General features: G+C 37.2%; 1 long non-coding RNA gene across 5 annotated transcripts in view; it reads right to left on the bottom strand.

The window, feature by feature from the left end:
• Positions 1–15,253, bottom strand: part of LOC102723324 (uncharacterized) — a 93,479-nt gene that overhangs the window by 54,459 nt on the left and 23,767 nt on the right. The window lies entirely within an intron of this gene.

Here is a 15,253-nt window from a genome sequence, read left to right as displayed (position 1 = left end):
TCTGGCTTAGCGAATCTACATTTTTACATAAACAACAGGGCAGAGCAAGCAATCAGGTGTGCGTTTGTCTCAGGTGAGCAGAGGGATCACTTTTGAGTTCTGTCTTTGACCTGCACCTGTGAAGATAAGCTACCAATTTACTTTGCCAGGGTGAAATTCAACAGAACTGTTTTAGGGTAAAGATCTTGAGGCCCACAAGAAATTTCCTTGTGGATAAATTGTGAGGGAGGTGTGTAGCTTTTTTTTTTTTTTTTAAATCTTTGTGGCTATCTTATTTGGGAATAAAATGGGAGGCAAGTTTGCCTAACACAGTTCCCAGCTTGACTTTTCCCTTTGGCTTACTGATTTTGGGGTCCTGAGACTTATTTTTCTTTCAAATTTCCACCCTTTTCTTTTTAAAAATCTTTCAGAGAAAGCATTTTAGAAGAAAATGAGTCTCTGTTCTCAAGTTTTGTCTACCCCAAACCTTATGAATGGAACCTTATTTGCAAATAGTCTTTGCAGTTACAATTAGTTAAGGTGAGGTCATCAAGGTGGGCCTTAATCCAATATGACTTATGTGTTTTATAAGAAGAGGGAAATTTTGACAGACACACAGAGAGGATAGCTAGGTGAAGACAGAGGCAGAAATCAGAATGATGTATTTATAAGCCAAGGAACACCAAAAATTGACAGTCATCGCCAGAAGCTAAGGAGAGAGGTGTGGAATAGATTCTTCCTCACAGCTGTCAGAAGAAACCAACCCGGTTAACACTTTTAGACTTCTGGCCTCCAGAACTGTGAGAAAGAATAAATTTCTGCTATTTGAAAGTCACATAATTTGTGGTACTTTGTTATGACAGTCTCATGAGTCTATTATAGGCAATTTATCTTTGTGGTCTTCCACCCAAAAACCCATAACTTTAGTGTGTTCTTGATAAACACATCAGACAAATCCCAACTGAGAGACATTCTGTAGGCCCTCGAAACTTTGCAGTTATTAACACTCCTCAAACTGTCAAAGTCATCATAAACAAGGAAAGTTTGAGAAATTGTCAAAGCCAAGAGGAGTCTCAAGAGATTTGATTAGTAAACATAGTGAGGAATCTTGGTTGGGAGCCTGGAACAGAAAAAGGACATTAGATAAAAACTAAGGAAATCAAAAGTGTAGACTTGAGTCAATAATATGCATCAATATTGGCTCATTAATTGTGACAAATGTACTATACTAATGTAAGATGTTAATAATAGGGGAAATAGGGTGTGGGTCATATGGGAACTCTACTATTTTCACAAATTTTTGTAAATCTAAAACTATTCAAAAACAAGTTTAAGAAATGTAAAGCAAAAAATTATTAGCTCATGGGTCATGCAAAAATAGGCAGACCACAGGCCATAATTTGTCAATCTCTAGTCTAGGAAATAAGATCCAACTCTTTTACCAATTGAGGACATCACAGAGCTAACAAGATTACGTAGAATTCCCAGCCTAGGATCTTAGAGGATAGAAGCTCAGGGAATAATGAGCCTGTGCCATCTTTACATCCTTTTCCATGGTCTTGCCCCAAATCTCATCAAAATGACAGGGAAAAAGTAAAGCATCTACAAGAACAGAGAAAGCATTAGATGAGAGAGGTCACCGATTTTTTTTTTAAAAAACTGCACTAGGAAATACAATCTAAGGCTGAGGCCCTAAAACAAAGCTGAAAAAAGTATTTTTTAAAAATTTTCTTTGTGACATCAGAAATCTACCATAACTCTTTGGAATTACTTAGCCAGGAGGGTAATTACTGAGCCAGAAAGACAGAGGCTCAGGAGGGTTAGCCCGGCATTTGAGATGACCTTTCCCCTGGGGTCATCTGCCTATTTAATAAAAGTCCTTTAAGAGAATGAGTGGTGCTTTTGAAAACCTTGAGCGGCAAAGGGGATAAAGAAGAGAGTCCAGAGCTCACTGATTATTAATACTGATATGTTAGGGCGTAGGTCTGACATTTTATTTTTTCTTTTCTGTTTGTTCCCTTTGTTTTTTTGTTTCCTCTGTTTCTCTTTTCTTGCCTTTCTGTGGATTACTTGAACATTTTTCAGAATTCCATTTTGATTTATTGATAGTGTTTTCGAGTGTATCTCTTCATATAGATTTTTTTAAGTGGTTGCTCTAGGTATTACATTGTACATACCTTTCATTGTACCAAGGAAATTTTCTTTTTTCTTTTTTTTTTTTTTTTTCATTTTTGTCCTGACCTAGTTGGCAGGAAATTTTCTTTTATTCTAGTATGCTAAGAATTTTTATCATGAATATTTGGTAAATTTCATCAAACTGTGTGTCCACGGAGATGATCAAATAACTTTTTCCAGTATTTCTTAATAAAGTGAATTATATCGATTGGTTTTATTAATCAAAATTAAGCTTTCATTTCTGATATAAATTCAGATTAGCCAGGTGCTATTAGAAGAGCTAAAATATTAATAAAAAATTATAACAATACCATGTTCTGGCAAGATGCAGAGAAACAACGTTTCTCATCCCACCATTACTGATAAAATGGTATAACCACTCTGAAAAGTATTTTGGCAGTTTCTTAAAAAACTAAATATATACAACCATGCAACCCAAGAATTGCACTTTTAGTATTTATCCTAAAGAAATCTTATATCTACATAAAACCCTGCACACCAATGCTCATGGCAGCTTTATTTGTAATAGCCAGAAACTGAAAACAACCAAAATGTCCTTCAATGGGTGAATGGTTAAACAAACTGTGGTATACTAACATCATGGAATACACAAAGAAAGGAACTCAGATAGACCAAAAAGGCATTGTGCTGAGTGAAAAAAATATCGTTTCAAAAGGTTATATACTGTATGATTCCATCTATATAATGCTTTTGAAATGACAAAATTAGAGAGGTGGAGAACAGATGAATGGTTGCCAGGGGTTAGTGATGGTAGAAGTGAGGGGAGTAAGGTGAACTATAAAGACATCTTTGTGTTATAACATAGCATAAGGAATATCTTTGTGAGGACAGAATAGTTCTGCATCTTTTTTTTTTTAACAGAGTGTGGCTCCGTCACCCAGGCTGGAGTGCAGTGGCACGATCTTGGCTCACTACAACCTCCGCCTCCCGGGTTCAAGCAATTCTCATGCCTCAGCCTCCCAACTAGCTGCAACTACAGGCGCACACCACCACACCTGGCTAATTTTTGTATTTTTAGTAGAGACGGGGTTTTACCATGTTGGCCAGGCTGGTCTTGAACTCCTGGCCTCAAGTGATCCCACCCGTCTCAGCCTCCCAAAGTGCTGGGATTACAAGTGTGAGCCACTGCTACCAGCCTAGTTCAGTATCTTGACTGTGGTATTGGTACAAGAATCTATATGTGTGATAAAATGGCATACTACTATAAGCACACATTATACTAATGCTACTTTCTTGGTTTTTATACTGTACTATAGTTACACAAGAATGCAACTATTAGGGGTAACTAGTGAAGGCTAATAGAACTCTCTGAATCATCTTTGTAACTTCCCATAAACACATAATTATTTCAAACTAATTTTTAAAAAATATGTACCCTCAATGAGGTCTTACATGTCTACCATTTTTTTAAAAATTCCAGTAGTCTGTTCCCTCCTTATCCATTTCTCCAGTTATTTTTCTTCACAGCCCTTAATCCCTTCTAAGGTACTAAAATATTATGTAATTTACTTATTTTATTTATTATCTATCTCCCCGACCAGAATGTAAGCTTCATGAGAACAGAATTTCCTGTCTGTTCACTGATGTATCCTCAATACATAGTAGGTGCTCAAAATATGTATTGAATGAATGAGTAATGTTTAGCAAAAACATTAGTTGAGTAATATGTAGTTGAGTAATATGTAGCAAAAACGAGTTATGGCTGGGAATAGTGGCTCACACCTGTAATTCCAGCACTTTGGGAGGCTGAGGCAGGAGGATCATTTGAGTCCAGAAGTTTGAGACCAGCCTGGGTAACATAGTGGGACCTTGTTTCTACAAAAAAATGTAAAAATTAGCTGAGAGTGGTGGTGCACATCTGTAGTCCCAGCTACTCAGGAGGCTGAGGTGGGAGAATCACTTGAGCCCAGGAGGTCAAGACTACAGTGAGGTAATATTGTGCACTCACTGCACTCTAGCCTGGGCGATAAAGTGAAACCCTGTCTCAAACAAACAAATAAAACCCAACTATCTAGGCCAAGGTCTAGAGCATCATCAGTGCTCAGAAAAGAAGAAAGACTGACAATGTTCTATTTCTTTGCTAGTAGTGGTTTCTATTTAAAAAGACTAATAAAATTGACAAACCACTGGCAAAATTAGACAAGAAAAAAAGAAAGCACAAGTAACAGTATCATATAAAAAGGGGGAGCTACTCTTACCAATAATACAGATATTTAAAAGCTAACAAAGCATATTATAAGCAACTTTAATAAATTTGAATATATGGATGAAATAGAAATTATTTTAGAAAAATATAAAATTACAAATGACACAAGAAGAAAACTGTCCCACAAAATAACGCTAGGCCCTTACCTCAGACCATTTACAAAAGTTAACTCACAATGGATAAAAAATCTAAACATAAGAGCTAAAACTATGAAACTCTTAGAAGAAAATATAGGAATAAATGATTATCTTGGATTTAGCAAAGATTTATTTCTTTAAAAAGAATTTTTTTTTTTTAGAGACAAAGTTTCACTATGCTGTTTCACTATAATACACTGTTTCACTACAGTACAGTATTAAAACCTCAAACTCCTGGGCTCAAGGGATCCTCCCGCCTCAGCCTCCCAAGTAACTGGGACAACAGGCGCACACTACCATGCACAGCTGGGAATGGTTTCTTAGATATGACACCAAAAGCACAATCAAAAGAAAAAAATAAATTAGAATTCATCAAAATACAAAACTTTAGTGTATCAAAGAATACTAACAACAAAGTGGAAAGACAACCCATAAAATGGGAGAAAACTTTTGCAAATAATTTACCTGATGAGTTAGGTATGTAGAATATGTAAAGAACTCACACAACTCAAAAAACAGCTTTCCACAGTAGCTGAACTAATTTACATTCCCACCAAAAGTGTATAAGTTTCCCTTTTCTCTGCAGGCTTACCAGCATCTATTTATTTTTATTTTTTAATAATAGCCAGCCCGGCGCAGTGGCTCACAACTGTAATCCCAGCACTTCGAGAGGCTGAGGCGTGTGGATCACGAGGTCAAGAGATGGAGACATCCTGGCCAACATGGTGAAACCCCATCTCTACTAAAAATACAAAAATTAGGTGGGCATGGTGGCTGAGGCAGGAGAATCACTTGAACCCAGGAGGCAGAGGTTGCAGTGAGCTGAGGTTGTGCCACTGCACTCCAGCCTGGCAACAGAGCGAGATTCCATCTAAAATATAATAAAAATAAAATAATAATAATAATAGCCATTCTAACTGATATGAGATGGTATCTCATTATGGTTTTGATTTGCATTTCTCTGACAATTAGCGATGTGGAGCATTTTTTCATGTATTTGTTGCCCACTTGCAGGTCTTCTTTTGGGAAGTGTCTGTTCATGTCTTTTGCTCATTTTTTAAATGGGGTTATTGGTTTTTTGCTTGCTGATTTGTTTAGGTTCCTTATAGCTCTAGATATCAGACTTTTGTCAGATGCATAGTTTGCAAACATTTTCTCCTATTCTGTAGGCTGTTTACTCTGTTGATAGTTACTTTAATTGGTAGCTTTAATTGGAAGCTTGTTACTTTAATTAGGTACCACTGGTCAATTTGTTTCCGTTGCAATTGCTTTTGAGGACTCAGTTATGAATTATTTCCCAAGGCTGATGTCCAGAATAGGTTTCTTAGGTTTTCTTCTATGATTCTTATAGTTTGAGGTCTTACATTTAAATATTTAATTCATCTTGAGTTAACTTTTGTATTTGGTGAAAGGTAGGGGTCCAGTTTCAGTCTTCTGCATATGGCTAGCCAGTTATCCCAGCACCATTTATTGAATAGAGAGTCCTTTCCCCATTGTTTATTTTTGATGACTTTGTTAAAGATCAGGTGGTTGTAGATGTGTGGCTTTACTTCTGGGTTCTCTATTCTGTTCCATTGGTCTGTGCATCTGTTTTTGTCCCAGTACCATGTTGTTTTGATACTGTAGCCTTGTAGTATAGTTTGAAGTTGCTAATGTGATGCCTCCAGCTTTGTTCTTTTTGCTTAGGATTGCTTTGGCTATCTGTACTCTTTTTTGGTTCCATATGAATTTTAGAATAGTTTTTTCTACTTCTGTGGAAAATAATGTTGGTAGCTTGATAAGAATAGCATTCAATCTGTAGATTGCTTTTAGCCATTTTAACAATATTGATTCTTCTAATCCATGAGCATGGACTGTTTTTCCATTTGTTTGTACCACGTATGGTTTTTTTCAGCAGTATTTTGTAGTTCGTGGAGAGATCTTTCACCTCCATCATTACTTGTATTCCTAGGTTTTTGTTTGTTTGTTTTTTGCAGCTATTGTAAATGGGATTGCATTCTTGGTTTGGCTCTCAGCTTGAATGTTATTGGTGTATAGAAATGTTACTGATTTTTGTATATTGATTTTGTATCTGGAAATTTTGCTGAAGTTGTTTATCAGTTCTAGGAGACTTTTGGCAGTTTTTAGGGTTTTCTATGTATAGATTCCTATCATCAGCAAAGAAGAAGTCAAACTATCTTCTTCTTTTCCTATTTGGATGTCTTTTATTTCTTTCTTTCACCTGATTGCTGTGTCAAGGACTTTCATTACCATGTTGAATAGGAGTGGTGAGAGTGGGCATTCTTGTCTTGTTCCAATTCTCCAGGGGAATGCTTCCAATTTTTGCCCCTTCAGTATGATGTTAGCTGGTTTATCATAGATGGCTCTTATTTTGAGGTATGTTCCTTTGGTGACTATTTTTTAGAGGGCTTTTATCATGATGGGATGTTGAATTTTATAAAAAGCTTTTTCTGTGTCTATTGAGATGATCATATGGTTTTTGTTTTTAATTCTGTTTATGTGGTGAATCACATTTATTGATTTGTGTATGTTGAACCAACCTTGCATCCCAGGAATGAAACCAACTTGATCATGATGAATTAACTTTTTAATGTGCTTCGGATTCAGTTTGCTAGTATTTTGTTGAGGATTTTTGCACATACATTCATCAGAGATATTGGCCTGTAGCTTTCTTTTATCATTATGTCTTTGCCAGATTTTGGTATCAGGGTGATGCTGGCTTTATAGAATGAGTTGGAGAGGAGTCCTTCCTCCTCAAATTTTTTGAATAGTTTCAGTAGAATTGGTACCAGTTCTTCACCACATTAAGAGATTCAAGCAGAAAAAAAGTTACAGTATTTCTACATAGATGCAAAATTTCTAAAGCATTTGATAAAACTTAATATCCATTCAAGATTTTTAAACACTTAAGAAAAAAGAAATAGAATGAAAGTTCTTAATCTAATAAAAAGTATCTGTAGAAAACCAAAGAAAAGTAATGTTTTATGTCAAAAGCTTTTCCTGTAAAGTCAGGAACAATTAAAGGGTGCCTAATATCACCATTTCTATTCTGTGTTGTACTAGAGCTTCTAACTAGTACATGAAGGATAAGAAAAACAAATTAATGGTATAATTATCTACAAATGATAAATTGTATATGTAGGAAAAAGAGATTTATTTGAATTATAAGAGCATTTAGCAAAATCCCTAGATGAATAATCAATATGACAAAAGTAGTTACATTTCCAAACACCAGCCATAATTGTTAGCAAATGATTTTTTAAAGATGCCTTTTTAGCCTAAAAAAATCAAGTATCTACAAATAAGTGTACCAAAAGATATATAAGACTTTTATGTCTATTGAAAGACACTAAGGAAAACTGAAGTAAATCGTGATTGGAAGGCTCAATAGTATAAAAATATCAGTTCACTCTAAAATGATTTAATGATTCAGTTCAATCCCAATAAATATTCCCAGGAGGGTTTTTTTTTTTTTGACAGAATTTGACAGACTGATTTTAAACTTTATGGAAAATTTAAAGGCCAAGACTATCCAAAACATTCTTTTAAAAAATGAGGTGGGAGTTCTTGATGTACTAAATATTAACAATGATTATAAAGTAAAATGATAAAGACAATATGATATTGTCACAGAAATTGACAAATAAATCAATGGAGCATAACCAAGATAGGCAATGACTCACATATAAATGGACACTTCATATATAACAGTAACGGCACTGCAGAGTCCTAAAGAAAAAAAAATAATCTTTTCAGTAAATGGTGCTTTGAAAACAGAACATTCACATGGGAAAAAAATGAAATGTACTCTTTCATCAAAGTAAGCTTCCATGAGTTCAGGGTTCTTTCAGTTTTGTTCACAGCTGTAACCCCAATGCCTAGAAATGTAACTGCAATATAGAAGGTATACATACTCACTCAGTATTTGTGAAGTGAATGAATGAATGAATGAATGAACGAACGAACGAATAAATGACGACTTTGGAAACAGTTCTCAAGTTTTTAATTCATCTGTCTTCTTTTAAACATCTAACTAGGAAAAAAGTACATGAGAGTTACCAGTAGATGGCGCAACATAACAAAGAAAGTAATCAACACATTCTTTCCTTCTGAAAGGAATTGCTTCAAGAAAAGCCTGCTGATGTCACCTGTGCTGTAATAACTCATATTTCACTGACTTATACCCCACTGCACAGATGTTATTCTGTTCTGCTAAGTATTTTAGTTTTTCTTGTACCAGTACAGGTTACCAGTTCCTCCTTCTCCCTTTCCCCACCCTCTCCATCCCTTGGAACTCCCCCAACCTGTATTTAACTGAATCTCCCAATGTACTAAAGCCCTCAGGTTTCCAGAGCTGTGGGGTAGTCCACGGTGAGAAAGAATCTGTCCTCTCTGAGTTACACTCTGTTAAACGGGGTCACAGATTAGTGAAACAGTTCTTTCGTATTTTACTTCCAGCCTCCTTTCTCCGTGGGACCCCAGATTGGATCCATTGGGAGGTAGATTTGAATAGCAACTACCATGCATTATCAAGGATCACCATTTCTTTGCACCACTAAAGGCTCTCTTGCCAGGTCATGGTTATCCCAGAAGGTGTTTCAGTGCTTATGCCGATAAGCTCCTGTCACTAATCTGTCCGCCCATTCATATTAGGCTAGCATGACCAATTTGTCCTGGTTTGCTGGGGACTTTCACAGTTTTAGCATTGGAAGTCTCACATCCCAGGAAATCGAAATCCCTTAATCTTGGATAAACCAGAACAGCTGGTCACTCTACACTAGGCCCAGATCTCTCTGAACCCCACTCAAGCTCAAACCAGATTGTTTCATACAAGTATATAATTTTTAACCACATACATAAATTCCTGTTCTCTCTTCCCACTCCACATAGTCAGCCACCAAGTCTGTCAATTCCACTTCCTATGTATCATTTAAATTCATTTTCTCCTCTAATTCACACTACCTTACTTAGCTCATGTCTCATCATTTTATTCAGAATTACTAGGTAATCTTAAATAATAGCTCTACCCCTAGTATTGCTCATCTCAAATTCTCCCTCATGGAATATCTTTCATATCAATGTGATGTGATCACATCACAGTCCTGTAAAAAAAAAATCACTACTTTTCCCTCAGCATAGGATTTTGTCCACTTTCTTCATATGGTACATAAAGCTCCTTCCAGTATAGCCCTACCTAACATTTCCCGTTTTATCTCCCACCACTCCACTCTTCATACTCTTCACCCCTAGTGCTACTTACTACTCAACTGAACTAATTACTGCTTCCAGAACCCACAATGCCCATAGGCCTTTGCTTCCACTGATCTTATTTTCTAGAATGCCCTCTTGCTTTGCTATCTGGTAATTTACCTTTACTCATCAGAACCACCTAAATTGGGAAGGGAAGTTTGCCCAGACCAAGAGATGCTATGTAGACCAGAAAGAAATATTCAGACAGCCTACAGGAGGACACACATACATGTTTCTTACCATAATACAAGTCCAAAAAAGTTCCTACTTAACAAAATGTACTATTTTGTATACAACCACATATGAAGGGAAAACAACCAAAGTCACATCTGGCCGCTATATCAATAGGTAATGTTATGCAGTCTTTGTTTTCCAAGTTCAGGATTATTGTGCCAGTCCTCGGCCTCTTTAGATTTTGTAGGCAACACAAACCACAAGTGGATGCTCTGCTCTGATCCGGTTACACCAAGTAACTTGTAAGGCTGCTACTTCTGAATGGTGCCTGAAGCAAGAGAAGGCTCTACAGTGGGTCGAGGCAGTGTCATTCCAGTCTGTCTATCCAGTGGTGCTCCAAGTGTCTGTGGTAAGAGTGCTGCATGGCTCCTCACGCAAGCCTCAACAGGAAAATGACACAACACATAGCTAGCTAACAGAACCATACACTCCTCTGCCCCCTTAAAGAAGCAGCTCATAGCTCACTATTACGCCCTGGTAAAAACTGTTTAACCATGGAATTCCTATTACATGACCTAACAATTACATGACATAACTTGCCCATTATGAACAAGACCTAGCTATAATAATGTGCAGCAGCAATCCATTATCAAATAGACATAGTATGTACAAGATCAGACTCAAGCAAGCTCAGAGCACAAGCAAGTTACACGAGCAGGTGGCCCAGACCCCCACAGCACTTACTTCTGATGCCTTTTGGCCTCTCCCTCAACCAGCACTTGTGGTTTCATGGGGAGCTCCTTATGGCCTGTTGAAAGAGGGGGAAAATACACTTGGGCCTTATCCCTGTCAAAATACCAATGACATTCTTCATAAAAACAAAAAAATCCTAAAATTTATACAGGACCACGAAAGATCTTGAATAGCCAAGGCAAACCCAAGCCAGAAAACAAAGCTGGAGGCATCATACTACCTGACTTCAAAATATACCACAAAGCCATAGTAATCAAAACAGCATGGCACTGACATAAAAACAGACACATAGACCAATGAGACAGAATAGAGAACCCAGAAATTAATCTATGTATCTACAGCCAACTGATTTTTGGCAAAGGGACCAAGAACATACATTGGGGAAAGGACAATCTCTTCAATAAACAGTGCTGGGCCAGGCACGATGGCTCATGCCTGTAATCACAACACTTTGGGAGGATGAGCAGGGAAGATTGCTTGAGCCCAGAAGTTCAAGACCAGCCTGGGCAACAAAGGGAGACCCCTCTCTACAAACACACAAAATATATTTTTTTAAAACAGCCAGGTGCAGTGGCATGCACCAATAGTCCCAGTGACTTGGGAGGCTGAGGTGGGAGGATCACTTGAGCCTGGGAAGTTGAGGCTGCAGTAAGCCATGATTGCACCATTGCATTCCAGTCTGGGTGATAAAGCAAGACCCTGTCTCAAATAAATAAATAAATAAATAAATAAATAAATAAATAAATAGTGCTGGGAAAACTGAATATCTATACGCAGAAGAATGAAACTAGACCCCTATCTCTCACCATACACAAAAATCAACTAAAAAGGGATCAAAGACCTAAATATAAAACCCAAAACTATAAAAGTACTAGAAGAAAGATTTTAGGGGAAATGCTTCAGGACATTGCTCTGGGAAAAGACTTTATGAATAAGACCTCAAAAGCACAGGCAACAAATGCAAAAATAAATGGGATTATATCAAACTAAAAAGCTTCTGCACAGCAAAGAAAACAATCAACACAGTGAAAAGACAACTTACAGAATGGGAGAAAATATCTGCAAACTACTCATCTGACCAGGGATTGATATCCAGAATACACAAGAACGCAAATATCTCAACAGCAAACAAACAATATGATTAAAAATGGGCAAGTGATCTGAACAGACATTTTTCAAATGCAAATGACCAAAAGGTATATGAAAAAATGCTCAATATCACTAATTATCAGGGAAATGTAAATCACAACCACAATGATATAACATCTCATCCAAGTCAGGCTGGCTATTATCAAAAATACAAAAAAAAAAAAAAAAGTGCTGGCAAGGATGCAGAGAGAAGGGAACTCTCATACACTTGGTGGGAATATAAACTAGTACAGCCAGTAGGGAGAACAGTATGGAGGTTCCTCAAAAAACTACAAATAGAGCCACAGTATGATACTGAAATTCCTCTACTGGGTATTTATCCAAAGGAAAGGAAATCAACATATTGAAAAGAAACCTGCATGCCCATGTTTACTGCAGCACTATTCACGAGAGCCAAGATAAGGAATCAACCTATGTGTGCAACAACAGATGGATGAATAAGAAAAATGTGGTAAACATATATATATTTATATACACACACAATGATATATATATATACATATATATATACACATATATATATACATATATACATATATATATACACATATATATACATATATGTGTATATATATATATATATATGCACACACACACAATGGAGTACTATTCAGCCATAATAAAGAATAAAATCCTGTAATTCGGGGCAACATGGATGGAAATGGAGGACATTACGTTAAGCAAAATAAGCCAGGAACAGAATGTCAAACACTGCATGTTCTCACTCACATGTGGAAGCTAAAAAAAGTTGATCTCATAGAAGTAAAAAGTAGAACAAAGGATACTAAAGGCTGAGAAGAGTAGGGGGAAGAGGGAGATAGAGCTTTGTTAAAGGAAACAAATAGATAGGAGAAATAAGTTATAGTGTTCTATGCCACCATAGGATGACTATAATTAACAATATCTTATAGTTTCAAATAGCTAGAAAAAGAATATTGAATGTTCCCAACACAAAGAAATGATAAATGTTTGAGGTGATGGATATGCTAATTACCCTGATCTGATCACTATACATTGTATGTATCACAACATAACTATGTACCTCATAAATACGTACAATTATTATGTGTCAATTTAAAATCTTTTAAATAAAAAATTTAAAAAATTTTTTAAACCAACTTGGGCCTGGTTCACAGAAGTGTGTCCACATTACACTAGTACCAGTATACTCCCTCAGAGATGCCACTGAAGGGGAATGGTGAAGGAAAACCCTCCAAGAGGGCAGAAGTTTTGGCAGTATACCTTGAAGTCCCCTCAGCCAGGAAAGAGGGGTGGCCTGTGGTACAGATGTACACTCATCTGTGGACAGTGAATAATGCTTTGGTCACCTGGTCAGGAAATTGAAAAGAACAAGCCTGGAAGATTGATAACAAGGAAGACTGAAGAAGAGACACATGCACAGATCTTTCAGAATGGGCACTAAATGTGAAGGAATTTGTGTGAGTGCTTACCAAGGTACATCCATTGTAGAGGAGGCCTCAATAATAGGGGTGAACAAAGTGACTTGTTCTGGGATTATCAGTCAGCACCTTTCCTCATCTTCTGTTTTAATGGGCTTGTGTACAAAATGGCCATAGTGGCAGAAATGAAGCACAGACCCAACAAAATGGACTTCCCCTTACCAAGCTAATCTGACTGTTGGCACTGTTGAGTTCCCAAATTATCAAGAACAGAATCTAAACTGTGAGTCTCCAATATGGCACCATTTCCCAAGGGGATCAGCCAACTCTGTGTTGGTAGGTTGATTATAAAGCACCCCTTCCATCATGGAAATGAAAGCCATTTGTTTGTGCTAGAATAGACAACTATTCTGTGTATAGATTTGCCTCTTCTGCCCATTGTGTTTCTGCCAACACTACCACATAATTCCTTACTCAATATCATGGTATCCTACTCAACACAGCTTCTAAGGAACACATCTTAGAAGTGTAATTAGAGTTTGCAAATCATGGAAATAACTAGCCTTACTGCACACCCCACCATCTAGAAATATCTGGCCCGATATAACAATGGAATGGCCTACTACAGACTCAGTTACAACATGAGCTGAGAAACATTTTGTAAGGCTGGGACTGTCTTCAAAGAACAACATATGCTTTGAGCCATTGACCAATGTATGGCACTATTTCTCCCAAAGCCACAAGACACAAGTCCGTAATCAAAGAGCAAAAGGGAAAGTGGCTTCTCTCACTGTTATACTTCTTCACAGAATTCTGCTTCCCGTAATTTGAACTCTGCTTTATTCCCAAGACAGTTTCCATTGAATTTCTAACAGCTAAATGGCCATTTTAGACTCCACATGCAACTGAACCAATGGGCAAAGAAGGGAATTACTGGCTGGAGTGATTGATCCTGACAACTAAAGAAACATTGGGTTGCTGCTACAAAATGAGGCCACGAAGGACTATATATGGGGATGCTGTCATTCATGGCAACATGGCACCCCTATATTCCCATCGCTGACAGTAAAAGTTAATGGTAAACTACGATAACCAAGAAAAGACAGGACCACTGACAATTCAGACCCTTCAGGAATGACAGTTTGGATCACACCACTTGGTATATACTGGCTCAGAGTACAGGAAGCATGAAATGAGCTGGGGAGGAAGGGACACTAACCACAGGCTCATGACTAGACAGATACAAAGACTAATAACTAAGCATTATTTCTTACTTGCTTAATGTATATGTGTGTATTTATGTATTTCTGTATATATTAACTTTTTTTCTTCTCCTTTCCCACTGTAATTTTAAAAATTAATGGCAATTGTTAACTTTACAATTTCATCTTTAGGTTACAGAAGGTTCATAAGGGACTTTACTGAATTGAGGAGTAATTAACACATAATCCAGAGATTAATATAATTTGGGATCATCCGTTTATGGGGAAAGGGTGAGAGTGTCAATTTATTTTTTTATGTTTATTTACTTTTTTGAGACCGAGTCTTGTTCTGTCACCCAGGCTGGAGTGCAATGGCACAATCTCCACTCACTGCAACCTCCACCCCCCAGGTTCAAGCTATTCTCGTGCCACAGCCTCCTGAGTAGCTGGGATTACAGGCATGTGCCACCATGCTCAGCTATTTTTTTTATTTTTAGTAGAGATGGGGTTTCATCATGTTGCCCAGACTGGTCTTGAACTTCTGGGCTCAAGCGATCCACCTGCCTCGGCCTCCCAAAGTTCTGGGATTACAGGCGTGAGTCTCTGTGCCCGGCCAAGAGTGTCAATTTCTACAAAGGGTAGCTGTATCTTGTTAAAGAAAAAGCTGCCATTTTTAAATTGCTATATGAGAAGCTCAAATATACAGAGAAAGTTGTGCATGAATATTGAGTAAGCAAAGTAATGAGCTGTCCCAGTTGTTATGCCATTTTCTCTCAGTCCAAACTCACACATTTATACTCTTCTTTA

The sequence above is a fragment of the Homo sapiens genome, chromosome 9 (assembly GCF_000001405.40).
Source record: "Homo sapiens chromosome 9, GRCh38.p14 Primary Assembly".
Lineage (NCBI taxonomy): Eukaryota > Metazoa > Chordata > Mammalia > Primates > Hominidae > Homo > Homo sapiens.
This window is presented reverse-complemented; position numbering and strand designations above follow the sequence as displayed.